A 26966-nucleotide genomic window follows, 5' to 3' on the forward strand; every position below is an offset into this window, starting at 1 on the left:
TTCCAATTTCCCTTATTATTAACATTTTACATTGATGTGGTTACATTTGTTACAAATTATGAGCCAGTATTGATACAGTAATATTATTATCTAAAGTCCATAAATCCCATTAAGTTTCACTCTTTGTGTTCTACAGTTTATGAGTTTTGATAAATGACAAGTATCTACCATTACAGTACTATACAGAATAGTTTCATTGCCCTGTACATCCCATGTTCTTTACCTATTCATCGCTCCCTTTTACCAGAAACCCTGGCATTCACTGATTGTTTTGCTATCTCAATGGTTTTGCCCTTTCCAGAATGTCATATAGTTGTAATCATGTAAAATTTAACCTTTTTTAGATTGATTTCTGTCACATAGTGATACACATTCAGGTTCCTTTATGTCTTTTCATGACTCGAGTTCATAGTTCATTTATTTACTTTTTACAGGTTTTTATATTTAAATAGTATACAGTATTTTAATCTATTATCTTGCTTTTTTGAGAAGGTACATGTGATAATATATTCATAAAATTTATGAAGATCAAATCAGTGTAATTGGGGCATCCATTACCTTAAATATTTGTCTTTTTTTCTGATAGAGACATTCTAACTATTCACTTGCAGATATTTTGAAATATAAAACAGATTATTTTAACTATCATCACCTACTTATCTATCAAACATGACGTCTTATTTCTTCTATCAAACTGTATATTTTTACCCATTAATCAAACTCTCTTCATTACTCAACTTCCCTTTCCTTTACAGACTCTGGTAACCACCAATCTACACTCTATTTTCATGAGATCCAGTTTTATAGCTCCCACATGTGAGTAAGAACATGAAATATTTGTCTTTCTATACTTGGCTTATTTTACTTAATAGAATTACCTACAATTCCATCCATGTTGCTGCAAATGATAGGATTTTGTTCTTTTCCATGGCTTAATAATATTCCACTGTACTTATATACTACATTTTCTTTACCCACTCATCCACTGATGGGCATTTAGGTTGATTCCATGTTTTGGTTATAGTGAATAGGCCTGCAATAAACATGGGAGTGGAGGTATCTCTTTGATATATTAATTTCCTTTTTTTGGAGATATATATATATATATATATATATATATATATATATATATATATATATATATACACACACACAGAATGAGAGAATATTTATATATTAGGGGAATTGCTGAATCATATGATCATTCTATTTTTAGTTTTTTGAGGAACTTTCATATGATTATCCATAGCGGCTATACTAGTTTGCATTCCACCAAAAGTGTGAGAGGGTTCCCCTTTCTCTAAATCCTTGACAACATCTGTTATTCCCTGTATTTCTGATGAAAGCCATTTTACCCAGGGTGAGATGATTCCTCATTATGATTTTGAATTGCATTTCTCTGATGATTAGTGATGTTGAAGATTTTTTCAATACTTGCTGACAATTCATATGTCTTTTTTTGAGAAATGTTTATTCAGATGTTTTGCCCATTTTTTAATCAAATCTTTTTTTGCTATTGAGTTGTTTGGGAATATTACATATTCTGGTTACTAATCCCTTATCAGATGTATAGTTAGCAAATATTTCTCTCATTCTGTGGATTGTCTTGTCACTTTGTTGATTATTTCCTTTGTATCAAGCTCATTAGCTTGATGTAATCCTATTTGTCAATTTTTGCTTTTGTTGCCTACATTTTTGAGGTCTTACCAAAAAATATCTTTGCCCAGACCAATGTCCTGGGGAGTTTCCCCAGTGTTTTCTTATAGTAGTTTCAGGTATTAAATTTAAGTTTGAGGTCTTAAATTTAAGTCTGTAATTCATTTTTATTTTATTTTTTATATGTCAGCAGATAGGGGTCTAGTTTCATTCTTATGCATATGGATATCCAGCTTTCCCAGCACCATTTATTGAAGACACTGTCCCTTTCCCATTATATGTTCTTGGCACCTTTGTTGAAAATGGGTTGGCTGTAAACTTATGGGTTTATATCTAAATTCTCTATTCTGTTACATTGGTTTATGTGTCTGTTTTATGCCAGTACCATGCTGATATTGTTCCTATAGCTTTGTAGTATATTTTGAATTTAGTTAATGTGATGCCTCTAGCTTTGTACTTTTTGCTCAGGATGGCTTTGGCTATTTGAGTCTTTTGTGGTTCCATGTACATTTTAGAATTGTTTTTCTATTCCTGTGAAGAATGTCATTTTAATAGGGATTGCATAGAGTTTTTAAATTGCATTGGGTATTGGTGCCATTTAGTTATGTGATTCTTCCAGTCCATGAGCTTGGAATACCAATTTTTTGTATTCTCTTTAATTTCTTTCATCAGTGTTTTATAGTTTTCTTTGTAGAGGTATTTAACTTCTTTGGTTAAATTGATTCCTATGTATTTTATATTCTTTGCAATTATTGTAAATGGTATTGCTTTTTGACTTTTTTTAGATTGTTCACTGTTGGCATATATAAATGCTACTGCTTTCCACATGTAGATTTTGTATCCTGCAACTTCCCTAAATTTCTTTTACCAGTTCTAAGATTAAATAGTTTTTTGGTGAAGTCTTTAGGTATTTCAAAGTGTAAGGTTATGTTATCTGCAACCAAGGCTAATTTGACTTATTTCTTTCCAATGTTAATGCTGTTTATTTCTTTCTCTTGCCTAAATCATCTGGTGAAAGTGGGCATCCTTTTCTTATTCTAGATTTTAGAGGATAAGATTTTAATTTTTCCCCATTTAGTATGATGTTAACTGTGGGGTTGTCATAGATGGTCTTTATTACTTTGACATATGTTCCTTCTATACCCTGTTTTTTGAGTGCTTTAATCATAAAGAGATGTTGAATTTTACTGAATGCTCTTTCAGCACCTATTAAAATTATCATACAGTTTTGTTGTTGATTCTGTTTATGTGATGTATCACCTTTATGGATTTGCATATGTTGAAACATTCTTACATCCTTGGGCTGAATCCCACTTGATCACGGTGAATAATCATTTTAATGTGTTGTTGAATTTGATTTGCTAGCATTTTGTTGAGGAATTTTGCATCTATGTTCATCAGTGATATTGGCCTGTAGTTATCTTTATTTTTTTCCTTATCTGGTTTTGGTATCAGGGAAATGCTGGCAATGTAGAATATGTTTGGAAGTGTTCCCTCCTCATTAAATTTTTTTGAAGAATTCGAGTATAATTAATATTATTTTTCCTTTAAATGTTTGGTAGAATTTAGCAGTGAAGCCATTAGCTCCTGAGCTTTTCTTTGATGGGAGGCTTTTTATTATAGCTTCGTTATTCTTGTTTGTTATTTGGGTTTTCTTTTTCTTCCTGGTTCAGTGTTGATAAGTTATATGTTTCTAGGAATTTATTCATTTCTTCAAGGATTTCCAATTTGTTAGAATGTAGTTGTTCATAATAGTGTCCAATGATTCTTTGTATTTCTGTGGTCTTATTTGTTACGTCTTTTTGGCTTCTGATTTTATTTATTTAAATCTTCTCTCTTTTTTTCTTAGTCTATCTAAAGGTTTGTCAATTTTGTTTATCTTTTTTAAAAACATCAACTTTTCATTTTGTTGATCTGTATTATTTTTAGTCTCAATTTCATTTATTTAGGTTATGATATTTATTATTTCTTTCCATCTACTAATTTTGAGTTTGGTTTGTTCTCGCCGTTCTAGTTTCTTGAGCTGCATCACTAGTTGTTGTTGCTTTTTTTAAGTCTTTCTACTTTTTTGATGCAGGCATTTGCTTATTACTATAAAATTCCCTCAGTACAAGTTTTGCTGCATCGTATTGACTTCGGTATGTTGTGTTTTTATTTTCTTTTGTTTTAAGAAATATTTTAAATTTTTTCTTAATTTCTTCACTGACCCATTGGCCATTCAAGAACATGTTGTTTAATTTGCATGTGTTTGTGTATTTTGAGGTTCCTCTTGTTGTTCACTTCTAGTTTTATATCATTGTGGCCAGAAAAGATAGTTGATAAGATTTCTATCTTTTTTAGTTTGTTGAGACTTGTTTTGTGGCCTATTCTGGGGAATGTCCCATGTGCTAATGAAAAGAATGTGTATTCTGCAGCAGTTGGGTGAAATGATCGGTAAATATCAGCGAGGCTTATTTTTCTAGTCTATACTTTATCTCCTATGTTTCTTTATCAATTTTTTCTCTGGATGATCTGTCCATTGCTGACAGTGTGGTGTTTGACGTATCCTACTATTATCATATTGCAATCGACCTCTCCCTTTAGATCTATTAATGTTTGTTTACATACTTGGAAGCCCTGGTGTTGGGCGCATAGATATTTATAACTGTTCTATTAATTTGCTCAATTGACTCCTTTATCATTATATAGTGACCTGCTTTATCTTTTTTTATAGTTTTTGATTTATAATCCATCTTATATAAATATAGCCATTCCTGCTCTTTTTTAGTTTCCAGTTGCATGGAATATCTTTTTCCACCCCTTCCCTCTCAGTTTTTGTGTATCTTTATAGGTGAAGTGGTTTTGTCTTAGGAAACATATAATTGAGTCTTGTTTCTTTATCTATTCAACCACTGTATGGTTTTTAAATGAAGTGAGTTTATTTACATTCAGTGTTATTTTTGATAAATAAGGACTTATTTTTGTCATTTTGTTGTTTGTTTTCTGATTGTCTTGTAACTACTGTCTGCCTTTCTTCTTGTCTTCTTTTGTGGTTAAGTGATTTTCTCTGGTAGTATCTTTAAATTTATTGGTTTTTATTTTTTAGGACCGTATGATAAGTTTTTACATTGTAATTACCATGAACCTTACAAAAAATGCTTACAGTTATTACCAGTTATTTCAAACAGCTGACAACTTACTTTAGCTGACAGAAAAAGGAATATAAACAAACAGAAAAAATGATAAAACAACCTCTACAGTTTAACTCCACCCCCCCCTCCACATTTTGGCTTTATGCTGTCCAAATTTACATATCTTATATTACCTATCTCTTAACAGGTTGCTATAGGTAATATTGTTATTGATAGAATTGTCTTGGGGCTCCATACTAGAGTTATGAGTGGATTGCACACACCAGTTACAGCATTGGAGTATTCTGGGTTTGTATTTGTACTTAATTTTACCAGTGGGTTTTATACCTTTATATGTTTTCTTTTTACACATTATTGTCTTTTACTTTCACATTGCAGAACTCCCTTTAACATTTCTTGTAAGGCTCGTCTAGTGGTGGTGATCGGCTTTTGCTTGTCTAAGATAAACTTTATTTCTGTTTCATATTTTACAGATAGTTTTTCTGGGTACAGTATTCTTCAATGAGAGTTTTTATTTTTTTTAGATCAGTGCTTAGAATATGTCATCTCACTCCTTCCTGGCCTGTATGATTTCTGTTAAAAAGTCTGTTAACAGAATAATTTCAGTTTTTTTCTATTATATTTGCTTTTTTTCCTTGTTCTTTTAGGATTCTCTTTTTCCTTGAACTTTGAGAGACTGATTATGTCCTAGGGTTGTCTTATTTGGGTCTAACCTGTTTTGTGTTCTCTGATCTTTCTGTACCTGGATCTCTTTCTCAAGTTTTAAAAAGTACCTGGATCTTTCTGTACCTGGATCTCTTTCTCAAGTTTTAAAAAGTATCCTGTTATTATTTCTTTGAATAAGCTTTCCACTCCTTGCTCTTGCTCAATGCCCTCTTGAACACCAATAATTCCTAGATTTGGTCTTTCGAGATAATTTTCTATATCTTGTTGGGTATATTTGTCTTTTTTCATTTTTTTTCTACTCTGATTCTATATTTTCAAATAAGCTGTCTTCAAGCTCACTGATTCTTTCCTTTGCTTTATCTGTTCTGCTGTTGAGAGCCCCTTATGAATTTTTCAGTTGAGCAAATTTATTTTTCACTTTCAAGATTTCTGTTTGATTTTATTATTTTAATCTCTTTATTAAATTTCTATTATACATTCCTGAATTGCTTTTCTGTGCTATCTTGGAGATCACTGAACTTTTTAATAAAACTATTTTAAATTCTTGATCAGAAAGTTTACATATCACCATCTCATTAGGGTCAGTCTCTGGTACTTGGCTTTGTCAATTTGAGGAGATGATGATTGCTACCATTTCTTATTTGCTACCGTTTCTTGTGGATGTACAGCTATGCCTTTGCATTGAAGGATTCGTTATTTAGTCCAATTGTTTCTGTCTGGGTTATTTAGTTTTTTTATTACATACATTTTCTTAGAGTTTTTTTGTAATTTGCCTTTTTTTTTTTTTTTTTTAGACGAAATTTCACTCTTGTTGCCCAGGCTGGAGTGCATTGGCAGGATCTCAACTCACTGTAATCTCTGCCTTCTGGGTTCAAGTGATTCTTCTGCCTCAGCTTCCTGAGTAACTGGGATTACAGGTGCCCACCACCAAGCCTGGCTATTTTTTTTAATTTTTATTTTTAGTAGAGATGAGGTTTCACCATGTTGGCCAGGCTGGTCTTGAACTCCTGACCTCAGGTGATCCACCCACCTTGGCCTCCCAAAGTGCTGGATCACAGGCATGAGCCACCACACCTGGCAGATGCTGCCTTATTTTTAGCAGTATATGGTGACTTTAGCCAAAGTTTTCTTTTGTTCTAGTAAGGAATCAATGGTACTTAATCTGAATGGGGGAGATCCCAAAGGAAATATTCTGGAAGTATGGAATGTCTGGCTAGGGATTTGTGTCCAGGGGATCTGTATTAGTCAAGGTTCCCTAGAAGGGCAGAACTAATAGGATATATATATATATATATATATATATATATATATATATATATATAAAAAATATATTATGTATATATTTATAATAGATATATTTTATATATAAATAATTTATATTTATATATAAATATAAATATATACTACAGATATTTATATATAAATATAAATATATACTACGTATATTTACATATATAAACATAAATATATACTACGTATATTTACATATATAAACATAAATATATACTACGTATATTTACATATATAAATATAAATATATACTACGTATATTTACATATATAAATATAAATATATACTACGTATATTTACATATATAAATATAAATATATACTACGTATATTTACATATATAAATATAAATATATACTACGTATATTTACATATATAAATATAAATATATACTACGTATATTTACATATATAAATATAAATATATACTACGTATATTTACATATATAAATATAAATATATACTACGTATATTTACATATATAAATATAAATATATACTATATATTTACATATATAAATATAAATATATACTATATATTTACATATATAAATATAAATATATACTATATATATTTACATATATAAATATAAACATATACTATATATTTATATATAAACATATACTATATATATATAAACATGTACTATATATTTATATATAAACATATACTATATATTTATATATAAACATATACTATATATTTATATATGAATATAAACATATACTATATATTTATATATGAATATAAACATATACTATATATTTATATATGAATATAAACATATACTATATATTTATATATGAATATAAACATATACTATATTTATATATGAATATAAACATATATATTTATATATGAATATAAACATATATATTTATATATATGAATATAAACATATATATTTATATATATGAATATAAACATATATATTTATATATATGAATATAAACATATATATTTATATATATGAATATAAACATATATATTTATATATATGAATATAAACATATATATTTATATATATGAATATAAACATATATATTTATATATATGAATATAAACATATATATTTATATATATGAATATAAACATATATATTTATATATATGAATATAAACATATATATTTATATATATGAATATAAACTGTGTATATTTATATATATGAATATAAACATTTATATTTATATATATGAATATAAACTGTATATATTTATATATAAATATAAACTGTATATTTATATATAAATATAAACTGTATATTTATATATAAATATAAACTATATATTTATAATATATATATTTATAATATATTATAAATATATATATTTTAAATATATATATTTATAATATATATTTATAATATATTATAAATATATATATTTATAATATATATATTTATAATATATATTTATAATATATATATTTATAATATATATTATATATATTTATAATATATGTATTTATAATATATGTATTTATAATATATATTTACTATATATATATTTATAATATATATTATATATATAAAATATGGGAATTTATTAAGGATTAACTTACACGATCACAAAGTCCCACAATAGGCTGTCTGCAAGCTTGAGGAGCAAAGAGAGCCAGTTCGAGTCTCAAAACTGGAGAACTTGGAGTCCGATGCTTGAGGGCAGGAAGGATGCAGCACGGGAGAAAGATGTAGGCTGGGAGTCTTGCCTTTTCATGTTTTTCTGCCTGCTTTATATGCACTGGTAGCTGATTAATTTGTGCCCACAAGATTAAGGGTGGGTCTGCCTTCCCGAGCCCACTGACTCAAATGTTAATCTCCTTTGGCAACACCCTCACAGACACATCCAGGAACAATACTCTGCATTCTTCAATCCAATCAAGCTGACACTCAGTATTAACCATCACAAATCCACATCTTGTCAACTTGAACCCATACACATCTCCTGAGATTATACATAATCTTCAAATAAAGACAATAATAAGGTCATAATTATCCCTAACTTAATATAACTATTCTTCGTACAACTGGAAATGCACCAATCAGTCCCCAACCCAAATACTACTACTTAAAGTTAACAATACGTAAATACTGATATGAAGTCAATAAATCTGATGTCACATGATAAAGAAAAAGGAAATAAAATGAAGATATTTTCTTAGTACAAGTATATACATGCACAAACATGTTTTTAATAAAAGAAGGAGGAAATACTCATGACAGTTACTGTCCTCGTTTCTGCAGCTGGTCACGTGGAGCTCATATTGATGACTACTTTCTTCTATTACACATTCTGTATTCCCTTTGCCTTCAGCAAGCACCTCAGCAGGTGGTGGGTTTTTTTTCCTGGTAGAGTAACCCAAACCTTCATTCCTGGGAGGTCTGGATCATTTGTAGTCCTGCCTGGATTGGGCGGTTATAGTTTCTCATTGACCTTAATCACAGGGCAGGGTAATACTAAGAGACAGGATAATGGATCTCCTGTACTCCATGCTTACTCTTCCTTACCTCCATTATGGGGTAATAGACTGGTTTCATCTTGATAGTCCGGGTCAATCTTCCTGCCAGTACTCTAAGTCCCTTCTTAGCCTGTTGACTTAAAGGTAGGAGGATCCCAGTGGCCAGGTAACAATCTGAACTTCCAGTTTAAGGAAATTGTTGTTGTGTCTCCTGGTGGCAGCATTCCTCCCTCTGGAACTAAGACCTCTAAGCAAGCAGAGCATAATGTTGTGGGAACAGGAAGCAAAAATTTTGCTAGTGGATCGCTAGGGGTGATAGCAAGTGGTGCCATTTCCACTTCCACCCCTTGATTCCTGAACTCGTGAATCCTGGCTATGGGAGAAAGAGTGCCATATATTGGACGCTGATTCAGAGCATACACAGCCTTCTGGAGAACTGTGTTTCAGCCCTGAAAAGTACTGCCACCCAGTGGTCGTTGTAATTGTGAATTCAAAAGGCCATTCCACCGTTCTATCAATCCAGCTGCTTCAAGATGACGGGGAACATGGTAAGACCAGTGAATTCCATGAGCATGAACCCACTGCTGCACTTCTTTAGCCATAAGTGCTTTGGTCAGAGGCAATGCTGTGTGGAATACCATGACCATGGATAAGGCATTCCATGAGTCTACGGATGGTAGTCTTGGCAGAAGCATTGTGTGCAGGATAGGCAAACTCATATCCCTACTAAGTCTCTATTCCAGTGAGGAGAAATCTCTGCCCTTTCCATGATGGAAGAGATTTAATATAATCAACCTGCCACCGGGTAGCTAGCTGACCACCCCGAGGAATGGTGCCGTATTGAAGGCTCAGTGTTGATCTCTGCTGCTGGCAAACTGGGCACTCAGCAGTGACCGTAGCCAGGTCAGCCTTGATGAGTGGTAGTCCATGCTGCTGAGCTCATGCATAACCTCCAGCCCTGCCACCATGGCCACTTTGTTCATGGGCCTATTGGGCTATGAAAGAGGTGGCTGGGGAAAGAGGCTGGGTGGTGTCCACAGAACAGGTTATCCTGTCCACTTGATTATTAAAATCCTCCTCTGCTGAGGTCACCCGTTGGTGAGCATTCACATGGGATACAAATATCTTCACAGTTTTTGACCATTCAGAGAGATCCATTCACATACCTCTTCCTCAAAGTTCTTTGTCACCAATTTTCCAATCATGCTTCTTTCAAGTCCCTGACCATCCAGCCAAACCATTGGCTACAGCCCATGAATCAGTATATAATTGCACATCTCTCCATTTCTTCTTCCATGCAAAGTGCACAACCAGGTGCACTGCTCAAAGACCTGTCCACTGGGAAGATTTCCCTTCACCGCTGTCCTTCAGGGATGTCCTAGAAAGGGACTGTAGTGCTGCAGCTGTCCATTTTCGAGTGGTGCCTGCTTATCGTTCAGATGGTTCACCATCTGTGAACCAGGCCCTAGTTTTCTCTTCCTCTGTCAATTGATCATAAAGAACTCCCAGTGAGGCCATCGGTGCAGGCTGGGCAAGAGAAAGCAGGGTGGCAGGAGTGAAGACCATGGGCATTTGAGCCACTTCCTCATGTAACTTACTTGTGCCTTCAGGACCTGCTCGAGCCTGATCACATATATACCACCTTTATTTGATGATGGAATGCTGCTGTGTGTGACCCACTTTATGGCTAGGTGGGTCAGAAAGCACCCCGTTCATGATAGGCAATTCAGGTCACATGGCAACTTGATGACCCATAGTCAAACGCTCAGTTTCCACCAAAGCCCAGTAACAGACCAAGAGCTGTCTCTCAAAAGGAGAATAGTTATCTGCAGAAGATGGCAGGGCCTCGCTCCAAAATCATAGAGGACTCCACTGTGATTCACCTATGGAGGCCTGCCAGAGGCTCCAAACAGCATTCCATTCCTACCTGCCACTGACACCTTAAGCACCATTGGATCTGCTGGGTCATATGGCCCAATTGCCAGAACAGCTTCCACAGCAGTCTGGACCTGTTGCAAAGCCTTCTCCTGTTATGGACCCCACTCAAAACTGGCAGCCTTTCAGGTCACTTGATAAATGGGCTGGAGTAGCATACCCAAATGAGGAATGTGTTGCCTCCAAAATCCAAATAGGCCCACTAGGTGTTGTACCTCTTTCTTGGTTGTAGGAGGGGCCAAATGCAGCAGCTTATTCTTTACCTTAGAAGAAATATCTCGACAGGCCCCACACCACTGGGCCCCTAGAAATTTTGCTGAGGTAGAGGTTCCCTGAATTTTAGTCAGATTTATTTCCCATCCCCTGGCATTCAAATATCTCACCAATAAGTCCAGTGTGTTCACTACTGCTTGCTCACTGGATCCAATCAGCATAATGTCATCAATGTAATGAACCAGTGTGATATCCTGCAGAAGCTAAAAGTGATCAAGTTCTCTCTGATAAAATTATGACAAAAAGCATACCCCTGAGGTAGGACAGTAAAGGTATATTGCTGGCCTTGCCAGCTGAAGGAAAATTGCTTCTGGTGGGTGTTATGGACAGGAATGGAGAAAAACGTATTGGCCAAGTCAATAGCTGCATACCAGGTACCAGGACATGTGTTAATTTGCTCAAGCAGTGAAACCACATCTGGTAAAGCAGCTGCATTTGGAGTCACCACTTGGTTAAACTTATGATAATCCATTGTCATTCCCCAAGATCAATTTGTCTTTCTCACAGGCAAGATGGGAGAGTTGAATGGGGATGTGGTAGGAATCACCACTTCTGTGTCTTTCAAGTCTTTGATGGTGGCATGAATCTCCGTAATCCCTCCAGGGATGTGATATTGATTTTGATTTACTATTTTTCTAGGTAGAGGCAGCTCTAATTGCTTCCATTTGGCCTTTCCTACCATGATAGTCCTTACCCTGACAGTCACGGAGCTAATGTGGGGATTCTGCCAGCTACTAAGTAGGTCTATGCCAATTATGCATTCTAGCACTGGGGAAATGACCACAGGATGAATCCGGGGACCCACTGGACCCACTGTAAGTCAGATCTGAGCTAAAACTCCATTAATTACCTGACCTCCATAAGCCCCTACTTTAACTGGAGGGTCACAATGATGTTTTGAGTCCCCGAGATTCAACATCAGCTCAGAGCCAGTGTCCAGTAGTCCCCATAATGTCTGATCATTTCCCTTTCCCCAATGCAGTTACCCTGGTGAAAGGCTGGAGGTCTCCTTGGGGGAGGAAGGGAGAAAGATTCACTGCATAAATTGTCAAAAATGTAGTGAGGCCTTCCTCAAGGGGACCCAGCCTCCCCTTCATTCAAGTGGTTCTGGGTCTGTAAACTGGGTCAAGTCTGGAAATTGATTTAGGGGCTGCTATTCTCTGTTTTTATACTTCAAATTAGTCTTTTGTCCATTCGACCTAAAAGTTTTCTCCTTGTATAAATTAAGTAGGAATGCAGTAGGCTTCCTATCAGTTCACTTCTAGGAACACCATGATTAATTAGCCAATGCCAGAGATCTACATGAGTCAGACTATTCTGATTGCTGCTTTGTCTCTGCTGTCCATTACGGTAGCCATGGCCACCTTGCCTTTGATGGCTGAGTGCTGCCACTTGGCCCCCACCACCTTGGGATCCAATTATTCCCATTGTATTTAAATTTTGTAGTTGAGTAACTGTGGTCCCCACTGTTAAATCACACATACAGAGAAGAGCAATTACAGGGCTCTTCAAAGATGCAGGTGCTGCCCTCACAAATCTATTTCACAAGGCATTGGTCAAGGGTATATCTTCTGGACCCTTTCAGCCGGGATGAGTAGGTCTAAAGTGACTAATCCACTCCACCATTCCAATCTCCCTAAGCCTTTGGATCCTTTCCTTTATATTTAACAGAGGGAGATCAGGCATTTCCAGCTCACTCACAGTGGGCCATCTTTTAATTTTATCTCAGCTAACCAAGTAAACGAGCTATTTGAACCTTTTTTAACTCCCTGAGCTGCAACATTAAATGGCTCAGTACCTGCTTCTGAAGCCAGGAGACAGAATCACTGATTTCATCATTTTCTTTCATCACTTTGTCCACTAAACTTAGGAGCACCCAACCAGCTTCATTATGTTCCTTGGTTCTCCACATATGGTCAAAGATATTATGTACAGAATCACTAAACTCCTTGCCTCTCATGAGTGATGAATCAGGAGTGACAAATGCATTTATTTTGCATAACTTTCTAAGCAGTTCATACCAATGACTGTCAGTGTTCTTCATACTATTAAAAGTAGAGTCCTTAGCATTTTGGGGTCTAATCATATTGAGCAGCCAACTCCAGAAACCCAAAAACCAATGAAAGAACTCCATCTGTATTATTCTGTTCCACTAGAACCACTCCTGGTACCAAAATCTGTATAAGTCAGAGTTCCTTAGAAGGGCAGAACTAATAGGATATATAGCCTATTAATTTATTAAGTATTAACTTACATGATCACAAGGTCCCACAATATGCTGTCTGCAAGCTTGAGGAGCAAGGAGAGCCAGTCTGAGTCTAAAAGCTGGAGAACTTTAGTCCGATGTTTGAGGGCAGGAAGCATGCAACTCACAAGAAAGATGTAGGCTGGGAAGCTAGGCCAGTCTCGCTTTTTCACTTTTTTCTGCCTTCTTTATATTGGCTTGCAGCTGATTAGATTGTGCCCACCAGATTAAGGGTGGGTCTGCCTTCCCCAGCCCAGTGACTAAAATATTAATCTCCTTTGGCAACACCCTCACAGATACACCCAGGAAGAATTCTTGCATCTTTCAATCTAATCAAGTTGACACTCAGTATTAACCATCACAGGATCTATTGTTCGAATTTCCTATAGTATGGTGCTATGGAACAGCTACTCTAATTTGGTGTTTCCTTTGGCTCAGTTACAGAGCAGAGTTTTCAGGGCTAGTGATTGTAGTTGCACCTCTTTCCTTTGTTTCTAGCTGTCCTCAGGGATGTTTCTCCCTTCAGTCCTGATGTTTCCTATGGGGTGAGGCAAACACAGATCTCCTGCCAGGGAACCCAAGATAACAGGGAATCAGGTTGTCCACCTCAACCTCACTTTTTCCAGTGCAGAAACTATGAGTTGGGGGAAAATTTTCTATGTGCTTGGTGTGTTACATTATGTAGCTAGTCAGACATGAGCAGAGCAGGAGAGGGCTCCACTGCACTCCTCCACATACACCAGGAATGTCATGCGACCACGAGGTGATAGTCAGGTGGTTGTTAACTGTATCTCTAAAATAATTGGTAACAGTCAGTGCCAGGGAAAGGAAGTCTCCCAATAAACAAAAACACCTGAAACTGGTGATCGATCAGCAACTTCCTGATAAGATCTCAGGAGTTGGGTGAGTTCACACATGTTCTCTAAGAGGCAAAATGGTGGCGTTCAACTGGTATATTACCTCCAAGGGACATTCAGCTGGTAAGGGATGAATGCCCAATGTGAGCATGCATACAACTCCAGTAAACACTCTGTGCATCCTCCTCTCTTTAGTGCTGGAAGGCCACTGTGCAGTGGACATCCCATCTCAAGGGAAGAATCAGGAGAGAAGGAACACAAGACTCTGGAAGTATGCTAGTGCATAAAAACCCCAAGTCAAAAGGTCAAACCGTGGACTTGTCTTTCAAGTCACTTGCTTGGCCCTCTTTCAAGTGTACATCCCTTCCTTTTATTCTTGCTCTAAAGTTTTGTTGTAAACTTTCACTGCTGCTCTAAAATTTGCCTCGGTCTCTTCTTCTGTCTTATGCCCCTCAGTTAAATTATTTCCTCTGAGAAGGCAAGAATTGAGATTGTTGCAGACCCATACAGATTCACTGCCGGTAACATATTTAGGTGTCATGTGACTTGGATAACTTCCACTGCTAACATACTTTGATGCTGTGTGACTCAGATACATTCCCTAGTGGTAACAGATTATTCCTCACCTTCTTTGGCTGCAGGCATTCAAACCCTGTCTATGGTTTTCTTCTCCTTTTCTCTCTGCTGCTTACTAACCAAACCCCTGAACAAGTCCTCTTGGCCATAAGTGACTCGGGTCCCCCTGGATGATCTCTCAGCTCACCCTAATGGGTGGCTTGCAGGGGTGGGAAGGAACTTGGGGGTCCACACCGAGTAGAACTGAGGCACTAATGACCCTCCTGGACAGGAAGTTTGTGAGAGTGGTAAGGCTAAATCCCAAAACCATGCAATGTTTGGGGTTTCCTCTGCTTTTTCAACTAAAATGGGCTCTTTCCCAAGAACCTGCACTGACTATTTTCCTGTTTTCTCTGTGTGTGTTCAGAAATGGCCTTGTGCACCCACTTTGAGTGCCACATGACTTCTTAAGCACACACTCCCTGTTATTTGTGTATCTGTGGCTTTTACTGCATTTGTGCAGCAGCAAAGGCATGGGCTCCCTTGTGATATTCCTAAGATTTATACTTGTTCTTACTCTACCAGCTCCGATGACCTCCAACTCTTTTCCAGTCGGCTAGTGCATTGCTGGGACAGACACTAATTGGAACCCTGGCTCTGTCAGCTTCTTATGACTTACCATACGCTTTTCATTCCTGTTATGACCCAGGGCCAAGTTTTCTGGTGGCTCTTGAAGCAGTTTGTCCACCGGCTTAGGGCCTCACTCTGGCCTTTTAAGGATCCCACCTACTTTTGAGTCATCACCCCTTTGAGAGGAAGAAAAATTCTTTCCTTGCCATTTGTGAGTTCTTACCCCAAGCCCTATTTCTCCAGAGGTTACTACTTTATGTCCAGAGGACAAATAAAACTTGCCCACTCAAATCTAAGGGCTACTGTTTTTGCGAGCATTTGAAGGCTTTCCATGACTATTACTCTTGCTTCCTCCCACTTTCTCCTTTAGCCTCCATTTCTCTAATTCTATGCCCTTCTCAAAATGCATCAAGACCTTCAAGGTCATATTCAAAGGGAGATAGAAAGGAAGTCCATTCCCCTGTGGTGATTAGATGAAAAATAGCCTTCTTGTCTACTTAAAGAACATGGTAAATGGAAATCTGAGAAAAGAGATAATCATTTTGTTACTTGAGTGCTTCAAGTGAAAGTTACCATAAGGTCATGGAGACAAGGATGTAGGCTGGCCCAAGGCCACAGGCATGAGAGACCCATAGGACAGAGATGAAGTGTGGTCCCAGGCTAACAGATTACCATTAGAACAGAGATGAAAGATTAGGGTATATGGTAAGACCAGTTCATTCTGGAACCCCACAGATGAACAGGGGGCCCACTGTTCACTCCAGTGTCTCCTTTGTTCTCAAGTGGGTAATTGTGATGAGATGGGACCAAGGGTGCAGGGTAAGAATGGTTCATTCCAATATTCTAAGGATGATGAAGGGTGCCCCATTAAGGATAATAGTAAGGTAGAGGAAAAACCTTCTTTTGCCTTTTTTATTTTTTCTCTTCCATTATTTCTTCACAGATCAGTAATCATGTCTACGTACCACAGGACATGCCCCTCGGATGCATCCCCCAAAACTGGGAAAAGTTTGATATCCCCAAACCTTAAAACAACAACAACAACAACAACAAAAAACTAGTTTTCATTTTTAATACTGTTTGGCTTAAAAAGGAACAGGGAGAAATTTACAAGTCAGCCTTGGAACCCAGTACCCCTGAGCAGGAAGTCCTCAAATAAGCCTTTTAAGTCTTTTATAACTGAGAGTAGAATAAAGAGGACAGGACTAAGAAAAAGAAGAAACACATCAAAAGGAGGCGGACTCAACTATTGGCTGCTCTGCAAGCCCACCAGCCCCTTCCAGGTTTCCCTAAGGACACTCCTTCAAATAAGTGCCATTGATGCAGGACGCCAGGCCACTGGAAGGCAAACTGCCCCATTGGGACAAATGGGAAAAAGCCTCATGTGGTGTGCCATCTCTGCCACAAGCTTAGCCACTAGAACAGGACTGCCCTGAGGGCTGATGGACCCCAGGACAGAATTCTTTCCCCTGATAACTTTGAGCAGAAGGAGCTCTCTGCTCCAGCTGGCTGTCAAATGAGACATTGTCACCAACAAGATAAAGCTGAGGGCAACTCTGGAGGTGGCAAGTAAAATTATAATTTTCCCTTTTGGGTTCAAGAGCTGCCTACTCTGTGCTAATCTCCTTCTCTGAACAATTCTCCTTCAAGTCTCGTTGGGCAATCAAAGTAAATGGCATCCCCTCCCTCCAATAGAAAAGATTCACACCCCTTTATATGACTTGAGGGACCAATTAACATTCTTTCACCAGTCTCTGGTAATATCTAAATACCTCAAACATCTTTGGGGCAAAAATATGCTTTCCAAGTGATATGGTTTGGCTGTGTCCCCACCCAAACCTCATCTTGAATTGCAGCTCCCATAATTCCCATGTGTTGTGAGAGGGACCTGTTGGGAGGTAACTGAATCATAGGGGTGGATCTTTCCCATGCCGTTATCATGATAGTGAATAAGTCTCATGAGATCTGATGATTTTATAAAGGCGACTTTCTCTGCACATGACTTCTTGTCTGCCACCATGAAAAACATGACTTTTCTCTTCCTTTGCCTTCTGCCATGATTGTGAGGCCTCCCCAGACACGCTAAGCTGTGAGTCAATTACACCTCTTTCCTTTATAAATTACCCAGTCTCAGGTATGTCTTTATTAGCAGCATGAGAACACATTAATACAGTAAACTGGTACTGGTAAAGTGGGGTGCTGCTGTAAATATACCCAAAAATGTGGAAGCAACTTTAGAACTGGATAACATAGAGAAGTTGGAACAGTTTGGAGGGCTCAGAAGATGACAGAAAAATGTGGGAAAGTTTAGGACTTCCTAGAGACTTGGAGGGCTCAGAAGACAGAAAGATGTGGGAAACTTTGGAACTTCCTAGAGACTTGCTGAATGGCTTTGACCAAAATGCTGATAGTGATATGGACAATGAAGTCCAGGCTGAGGTGGGCTCAGATGGAGTTAAGAAACTTGCTAAGAACTGGAACAAAGGTGACTCTTACTATGTTTTAGCAAAGAGACTGGCAGGATTTTGCTCCTGTCCTAGAGATCTGTGGAACTTTAAACTTGAGAGAGTTGATTTAGGATATCTGGGGGAGGAAATTTATAAATGGCAAAGTGTTCAAGAGGTAGTAGAGCATAAAAGTTTGAAAAATTTGCAGCCTGACAATACAGTAGAAAAGAAAACACATTTTCTGGGACAAAATTTAAGCCCGCTGCAGAAATTTGCATAAGTAACAAGTAGCCGAATGTTAATAACCAAGGGAATGGGGAAAATGTCTCCAGGCCATGTTAGAGACCTTCACAGAAGCCCCTCCCATCAGTCTGCTGGTTTTATGAACAGGAGTTCCCCTGCACAGGCTCTCCTGCCTGCTGCCATGTAAGATGTGACTTTGCTCCTCCTTTGTCTTTTGCCTTGATTGTGAGGCCTTCTCAGGTCCAGAGGCCTGGGAGGAAAAAATGGTTTTCTGAGCCAGACTCAGGGCTCCCTTGCTGTGTGCAGTCTAGGGAGTTGGTGCCCTGCATCCTAGCCCCTCCAGCCATGACTATTGGCTAAAAGGGGCCAAGGTACAGCTCAAGCCATAGCTTCAGAGGGTGCAAGCCCCAAGTCTTGGCAGCTTCCATGTGGTATTGAGTCTGTGGGTACACAGAAGTCAAGAATTAAGGTTTGGGAACCTCTGCCTAGATTTCAGAGGATGTATGGAAATGCCTGGATGTCCAGGCAGAAGTTTGCTTCAGGGGCAGGGCCCTCATGGAGAGCATCTGCTAGGTGCAGTGCAGAAGAAAAATCAGGTTGTGAGCCCCCACACAGAGCCCCCAGTGGGGCACTGCCTAGTGGAGCTGTGAGAAGAGGGCCACCATCCTCCAGACCCCAGTATGGTAGATCTACTAATAGCCTGCATCACGCACCAGAAAAAGCCACTGACACTCAACGCCAGTCATGAAAACAGCCAGAGTACAGCCCCCATCCTCTGAGATCCATGCAGAACCATAAAACCCTGAACCATAAAAACAAAAACAAAATAATGAAGTTTTCCTCTCTTCTTGTTTTATGTCCTTAGGAGCTTGACCTTGTAACCGTGTTCAGAAACTTTGTCTTGGTCATCTCCACCATCTGGAGGACAGGATTTTTGGAATTCGTGTCATAGTTAGCTCACAAAATTATCTTGAGCAAGTTAAAAGCCATTTCAAGCTCAAAATTCACTGCTCTAGCCTCCTTCTGGGAAGAGAAATGGAAACTGCCCAATGCTGCAGTTTAGTAGCTAAGGCTTTGTCTTTTTCCAATGGCAGCATGGGTTCAGAGTTAAATTCCTGGCTTAGGGAATCAGTGCTTTCTGCTTGATATCTGTGTGACCTTTGCCATTTATTGATTCTCTGCTCCTCCATGAACAATATCTGACTTTCCTTCTTAAATTTTTCTTTCTCTAAGCTACTTTGGAGATTCTAGATCCTGTAAAAACTGCTAGCCACCTTATTGAAAATACCCTGTACACTTGTGGTTAAATCATAACCTTAGTTAAGGCTTATTGATTTCGCCTGTGAGGTTACTTTTTGTAAAGTTTAAAAGCCAGAAATATTGGATGTATGGTCTACCTAAAGCAGGGTAATAAGATATTTAAAAGAATTTATTTAAAAGCATGCTATGATTAAAATTCAACTTTTATTAAAAGCAGATATCTAAACCATGCATATATTTAAAAGGTCTTTATATTTTTTTTCTCTTCTTGGATTGTGTTTTCCTGTAGTAAAGGGTTTTTTTTCTTCTCAATCAGCTGAATTGTTTTTCTCCATTTGTCTTCTTGCCACTCTTGATGCACAAATGAAAGGATCTAAGATAGTTTCTAACAGCCTGGGACATCTTGGGAAAAACGGAGAAAGTGAGACAAACCTCATTTTGGGAAAAACTTCTGTTTTCCTCAGAAAGCCACAGGAATTGAAAGCAGATACATTTCTCTCAAAATCTAAGGCTCTGTTCTGTTTTGCATTGCATTATCTGATGTTTATGACTTTTGTGGATATCAGAAATTACTTCACGTTATGAGAGCGCTTTAGTGTATAATCACTAGGTAGGAAATATACTTTTAGGGGTGACTACTTGCAGTTAAGGTGGGATATGCATCTCTTTACACGTTTGGATCAGAGACGCATGCTCTTGCCCACATAGAAGATATGGCGATCTCCTCACTCCCCACTGAGAGGTAAGACTCCCATGGGAGATGGACTGATTCCTTCCTTATATGGAATCCAGGATCTGGTATAAAAATGGGACCCTTAATTTTCAGGGATCTGTTTTGCCTTCCAGATGTGCCTGCCTGCTTATTAGGCCCTAGAACCTGCATGCTTTTCTGGCCCTGTTTCTCAAAGGGCTCCACCCTGTAGCCAGTAATCCAAATAAGAAACTTAAAATTAACAAATGAAAAATCTTACAACTACTGAATCTTCTGCCTCTCTGTGTATTTATATGTGTTGCGTGTGTGATGGTTATATATGAGAGAGCTCTGAATGATTGGCTTAAAAATAATAAGAGCTTAAATCAAATATTTTTTCAGAAAAATAAAAACTGTAATGCATTTTGTTTCATGTTACTTAAGTAATCTTTAATAAATAAAGACAGTTTTAAAGATTATTGGTAAAATAAAAAATCTTCAGAAATTTAAACATTTGGTCTAAATTAGGCAGGTAAGACATCCAGTTTTCTAAATGCTTTAAGGTCATAATCTGCTTCTGTGACTATTGAAAATTGTTCAACTTACCTGTTTGGGAACCATTTGATTTTAGGTAATGCCTGGGCACGTGTGGAGTTATCCATTCCCTCTGGCTACACAGGAAAGGGTCAGAGCTCATCTGCACTTCTGTCTAGTGTCCCAGGCTTTATACTTAATAATTAAAATCACTTACTTGCCAGGTTTTTCACCAAAAATAAAAGTTGCTAAGAGTTAACATTGTAACATGTAGTTGAGAGTACTGAAGAAACAGTGTTACGCACAAGGTGTGTTGGAAAGTAAAATGCGTTTTTAGTAAAAGATTATAAGAAGGCATGGAAATGTGGATTTTTTTTGCCTAGATTAAAGGGTTAAGGCTTGTTTTAAGTTAGATAGGAAAGATCTCAAGGTTTGCACAAGTTGTGAAAGGTTTGTAAAAAATTAATCTTGTAAAAGAAATTCTGTGTGTGAACATATTGGCTAAAGTTAAAAGGGTATTATTCAGTTTTCCAGTAAATTGAATATTAGACTAAAACCATGACAGGTTTTTCTTAGAGAATTTTTCTGCTTTTTAACAAAAACATGGTAAAGGGTTATGAAAAGCTTATGAGAATCTTAACTTATGGTCAGACTGAATAAAAGTGTATAGATTTCTCTATGAGGTTTTATTAACAAATGGGTTTGACATCAATAGTACACTAATGCAAAGGTAATACCTGGATTTCTTTCACCTGTATTTGTATAAATGTATTATTGGTATGTGTCCTAAAGTTATGCAAAACTCCTATAATTCTGATATGACTTAGTATATGTTATCAGTAATAATTATTGTTATATAAGATTATTATGTGCCACAGAAATAACAAATTTCCTTGTCAATTGTGTCTTTGACTGTGGCTGCCCTTAGACATTTTGTTATCCACAGACAATTGTTTTGTTTTAATTTTATAATCAGCTGTAGGCTTAAATGCAGGTTTCTGATAACTTTGGAGATTGTGACATTAAAATAGAAGAAAAGCTTTCAGGACTATCATGGAGAGCTGAAATGTTCATGAATATCAATCAGAACAGGAGTGAACTGCATGGAGTAAATGTTCTAGAAGAATTAAATAATCCTTTTGTGATTTTTTTCCTTAAAAAGTTGCAAATCCTTTGTTTTTCAAAGCCAAGAAGACTTTTCTTTTGAGCTATTTATAGCTTTTAACAATTGAGTAAAGTATACTCCTATAAAAAATTTTGGAGCATATTTCTACCAGATTTCTCCAAAATTTGGAAGCCATTTGTGAGTATTCTTAACATATGGCAATTTAGTTATTTGCATAAGTGCAATAAGAATCTGTCTTCTTTTACAACAGACACAATTGGAGAAACTTGGTTATTTTAGCAAGGCTTTGACTGGAGTGATGTGCTTTGATTCCTTTTTAAGGAATCGAATGTGACTTACACAGCCAATGAAAGCCCCTTGGGAAAACTCACCTTACACTTTGTCTAAACAGTCCCTGTACAGGGTTCCTGACATGTGGTAAGTAGAGTGTCACTTTCTAACAGGCCCAGGAGCCCTAAGTTTTCTTGGGACCTCAAGAGGGGGGAGATTTACCCAAGTTATACAGGTATTTGATGGCATAAACTCATGAGTGGGCTTAAGGCTTTAAAAAGAGTCTTATCTGAGATTCCTTATCAAATAAAGTTCCCTCAAAGCCAATTTAAAAAGAGCCTATATGGTAAATAATTATTCTTGCTGTGCTTTATCCAAATAATGAGATCATGTATAATAAGACTAAAGCTTATTTTGCAAACAAATCAGTCTTATCATAATTTGTTTTTAATAAAATTGAGGATTGGAGAGAGAAAAATTATGTTTCAAGAACTATGGTACACCTATTATTATATTCTAGTCCCATCAGTTGTTCTTGAATCTTTGTCTGAAATTTAGACTAACCTTGCTTATTCCTCCTAACCAAACAGTGATCTCTGGCTACAGCTCAGAAGAAACAAAAGGGATGGGTAATGTAAAGTTCTAGATCAATATTCTAATTCTGGAGGTATATTGGAATTGACTAGCAACCTCATAAACCCCAAGTTCTAGTAGGCATGACTATAACCACCAACTACCTAGGCATGTTGGCAGCCTCAGGAAATTTTGGAGTCATCCTCACCCCCTTATTTTGTTTTAACATTCTTCTGCTTTTTTTTTTTCTTGAGACAGAGTCTTGCTTTGTCCCCCCAGGCTGGAATGTAGCAGCACAATATTGGCTCATTGCCACCTCCTCTTCCCAGGTTCAAGTGATTCTCCCACTTTAGCCTCCTGGATAGCTGAAACTATAAGCATGCACCACCATGCCTGGCTCACTTTTGTGTTTTTGGTAGAGACAGGGTTTTGCTATGTTGGCCAGGCTGATCTCAAACTCCTGGCCTTAAGTGATATGCTTGCTTCAGCCTCCCAAAGTGCTAGGACTACAGGCATAAGCCATGCCCAGCCTTGTTTTAACATTCTTCTAAATCTAATAACTCATTTTGTCCCCTCTCACCTTCAGGCCTTCAAGCTCCAGATAATCCTCAGTGAGGTATACTGTCCGCTCAATATCCAAGAGTCACCCTTCTACAAGGGACCTCTAGACTGCCCATAAGTGAGACATGACAGAGGTAAAGTCATGCTCCTGTCTCCCTTGGACCTGGCTGGAAACTGCATTCATCAACCCATGGAACCACCCCCCTGCCATGAAAGCTAGCAAGAGGCCAAGACCCACAGAACAACCACCATCATCCCTCTGTCAGCAGGAAGCGGTTACAAAAGACTAACCTTTGCCCATTTTCCCCAAAGAATTGGGGTCTTGGAATCTTGAGGGAGGAAATGTTACAGTAGGTAGCTAGTCAGACATGAGCAGAGCAGAAGAGGGCTTACACACACACACACACACACACACACACACACCCCACACACAAAGAATCCTGGGCAACCATCAGGCGATTGTAAGGTGGTTGTTAACTGTGTCTCTAAAATAACGATTGGTCACAACCAGTGCAATGGAAAGGCAGTCTCTCAATAAACAGAAACACCTGGAGCTGATGATCAGCAGCTTCCTGATCAGGTCTCAGAAGTTTGGCAAGCTGGCCTACACATGCGCACTAAGAGGCAAAATGGCACAGTTTAACTGGTATATGACTTCCAATGGACATTCAGCATGTAAGGGAAAAATGCCTCAAGTAAGCATGCATACAACTCCACTAAACACACTGTGCATGCTCCCCTCTCAAGTGCTGGCAGGCCAGTGCACATGGGGACAGCCCACCCCAAAGAAAGTCTCAAGGGTGTAGGGATGCAAGACCCCGGGAATATGCCAATGTATTAAACCCTAAGTCAAAAGGTCAAATCATGCACTTGTCTTTCAAGTCACCCACTTGACCCTCTTCCAAGTGTACTTTCCTTCCTTTTGTTACTACTCTAAAGCTTTTTAATAAATTTTCACTTTTTGAATTCTTGTCTGCAACTTAGACTAACCTTGCTTGTTTCTCTGAACCAACCAGTGATCTCTGGCTCGACTCAGAAGCAACAAATAGATGGGTAATGTAAAAATATGGATTAATATTCTAATTCTGGGGGTACAAATCTAAAATTTGCTTCAGTCTCTCCTTCTACCTATGCCCCTCAGTTAAATTCTTTCTTCTGAGGAGGCTAGAATTGAGGTTGCTGCAGACCTGTACCGATTCACCACCAGTAGCAGGTACTAGAAAGATTAAGGAGAGGAACATTCTGGTTATGAAGGTCCAATTCTCTTACCATATGTTCCAAGTTGTTTTTTTGTTTTGTTTTGTTTTAATTCTCTGTAGTCCTGGGAACTGCCTCACTCTCATATTTGAGTTCTGGGATATTGTTGGTGATAGTCTCTGCAGTGTATATTGGTTTTTATATTTTGTGGAGGGGGAGTGAAGCCAGTTTGCTTCTATGCTGCCATTTTGAAACCCTGCCACAAGTCATTTATTCCTGTTGTTGGAAAATATTCCATTGATTAGGTGTAATACCATTTGTTTATCCATTCACCTATTGGGAAAGATCTTATTTGCTTCAAGTTTTGGCAATTGTAAATAAAACTGCTATAAATCTGTGCAGGTTTTTGTGCAGATAGAAGTTTTCATCTCATTTGTGTAAATGCCATAGAGTGCAGTTGCTGGATTGTATGGTTAGTAAATTAGTCTATTTTTATGCTGCTGATAAAGACATACAAGAGACTGGCTAACTTATAAAGAAGCAGAGGTTTAATGGACTCACAGTTCCGTGTGGCTGGGGAGGCCTCACAACCATGGTGGAAAGGGAAAGACATGTCTTATATGGCTGCGGGCAAAAGAGAATGAGAGCCAATGAAAGGGGTTTCCCCCTATAAAACCATCAGATCTCATAAGACTTATTCACTACCTCGAGAACAGTATGGGGGAAACTACCCCCATCATTCAATTATCTCCCACTGGGCCCCTCCACAACATGTGGAAATTATGAGAGCTACAATTCAAGATGAGATTTGGTGGGGACACAGCCAATCATATTAGTAAGAATATGCTTACTTCTGTAAAAAGCTGCCAAACTCTCTTCTAAATTGGCTGTAACTGTTTGCATTTTCATTAGTAATGAATGAGAGTTTCTGTTGTTCCACATCCTCTCCAGCATTTGGTGTAAGCATTTAGAATTTTAGACATTCTACTAGGTGTATCATGGTATCTCCTCGTTGTTTTAATTTATAATTTCCTGATGACAAATGATGTTGAGCATATTTTATATCATATATATGTACACACACACACATTCTTTGGTCAGATGTCTGTTCAGGTTTTCAGCCCATATTTTAATTGGGTTGTTGCTTTGTTCAGTTTAAAGAGTTATTCATACATTTTAGAGCTCAGTCCTTTATCAGATATGTATTTTGCAAAGATTTTCTTCCAATCTGTGGCTTGTATTTTCATTCTCCCAACAGTGTCTTTCACAGAGCAGAAGTTTTTATTTTTAATAAAGTACACCTAATCAATATTTTCTTTCATGTATTGTGCTTCTGGTGTTGCATCTAGAAAGTCATCACCAAACCTAAGGTCACCTAGACTTTCTCCCATAGTATCTTCTATTAGTTTTATAGTTTTTAGCTTTAAATTTAGGTTTATGATTCATTTTAAATTAATTATTTTTGAAATGTTTAAGATCTGTGTATAGAATCTTTTTTGCATATGAATATCCAGTTGTTCCAGCACCATTTGTTGAGGATTGCTTTTTCTTCCTGGAATTATCATTGCTCCTTTGTCACAGAGCAGTTGACTGTGTGGATCTACACACAAATTTAAGCCAACAGCTGTTGCAGTTCTATGTTTATAATAATGTTTAAATTTTGAATCCAACTATTAATATGAATTTTAAGCCACTTCTCTGTCTCTTTTGATTTGAATGTGGAGGGTGTCATTTACTTCAGAAGGTATGTAAAAGAGATGTGCAACTTAGAAAAATCAAAATAAATTTTAGCATAAATATTCAACACAGAATGGAAACAGAATTTTACTCATGTAGCTAAATATGGAGCCCCTATCTGACTATATTAGAATATATAATTGTTAACATTATTTGCCAAGTCAAAAATAAAGACATTTGGGAAATTTTTCCTTTAAGTGCATTATTTGTATTAAAATAAAGTGATTGATATGCATGGTGTGAAATTTATGTTAATTAGTATGAGGCTAATGATTGAAATTTTAATACTATTAAATGTTTTTTCAGAATATAAACATTTAACAAATCAATAAAGCATAATTATTGCAGTAAGAGAGTTCACTTCTAGATCTGACCATTATCACCTTTATAACCCCATCTTTTGAGTATAAACAAGAGCTAATAAAAATGAAAATAGAATGATAAGAGAGGGAACAATTTGACTGAGATCTTCTGACTTTATACTAGATCATACTGAATGGGAGATAAGCAATTTTTCTTAAGTTCTTTTATAATCATTTTTAAAAATATTTTATTTTCAATAAGATCTTGTTCTCATGAACTTATAATTCATAGTTTCATTATTATGATTGCAAAATGTTGCAACCAAAACT

The 26966-nt window shown here is 37.1% G+C and overlaps 1 long non-coding RNA gene across 2 annotated transcripts in view, besides 1 other annotated feature; it reads left to right on the forward strand.

The window, feature by feature from the left end:
- Positions 1 to 26579, forward strand: part of LINC03077 (long intergenic non-protein coding RNA 3077) — a 293892-nt gene extending 267313 nt beyond the window's left edge. For both annotated transcript variants that reach the window (NR_186574.1, NR_186575.1), the window contains one exon: positions 23426 to 26579. This is a non-coding gene — a long non-coding RNA (long intergenic non-protein coding RNA 3077). The remainder of the gene's footprint in view (positions 1 to 23425) is intronic.
- Positions 15219 to 15379: a silencer, noted in NCBI's record as "fragment chrX:98111402-98111562 (GRCh37/hg19 assembly coordinates)". NCBI's record gives its function as "represses an EF-1alpha promoter that drives an FKBP-Casp9 reporter gene in an ReSE screen in HepG2 liver carcinoma cells {active_cell/tissue: HepG2}" and the evidence as "EXISTENCE:reporter gene assay evidence [ECO:0000049][PMID:32094911]".
- Positions 26580 to 26966: the final 387 nt, after the last annotated feature.

Source organism: Homo sapiens, chromosome X (assembly GCF_000001405.40).
Source record: "Homo sapiens chromosome X, GRCh38.p14 Primary Assembly".
NCBI lineage: Eukaryota > Metazoa > Chordata > Mammalia > Primates > Hominidae > Homo > Homo sapiens.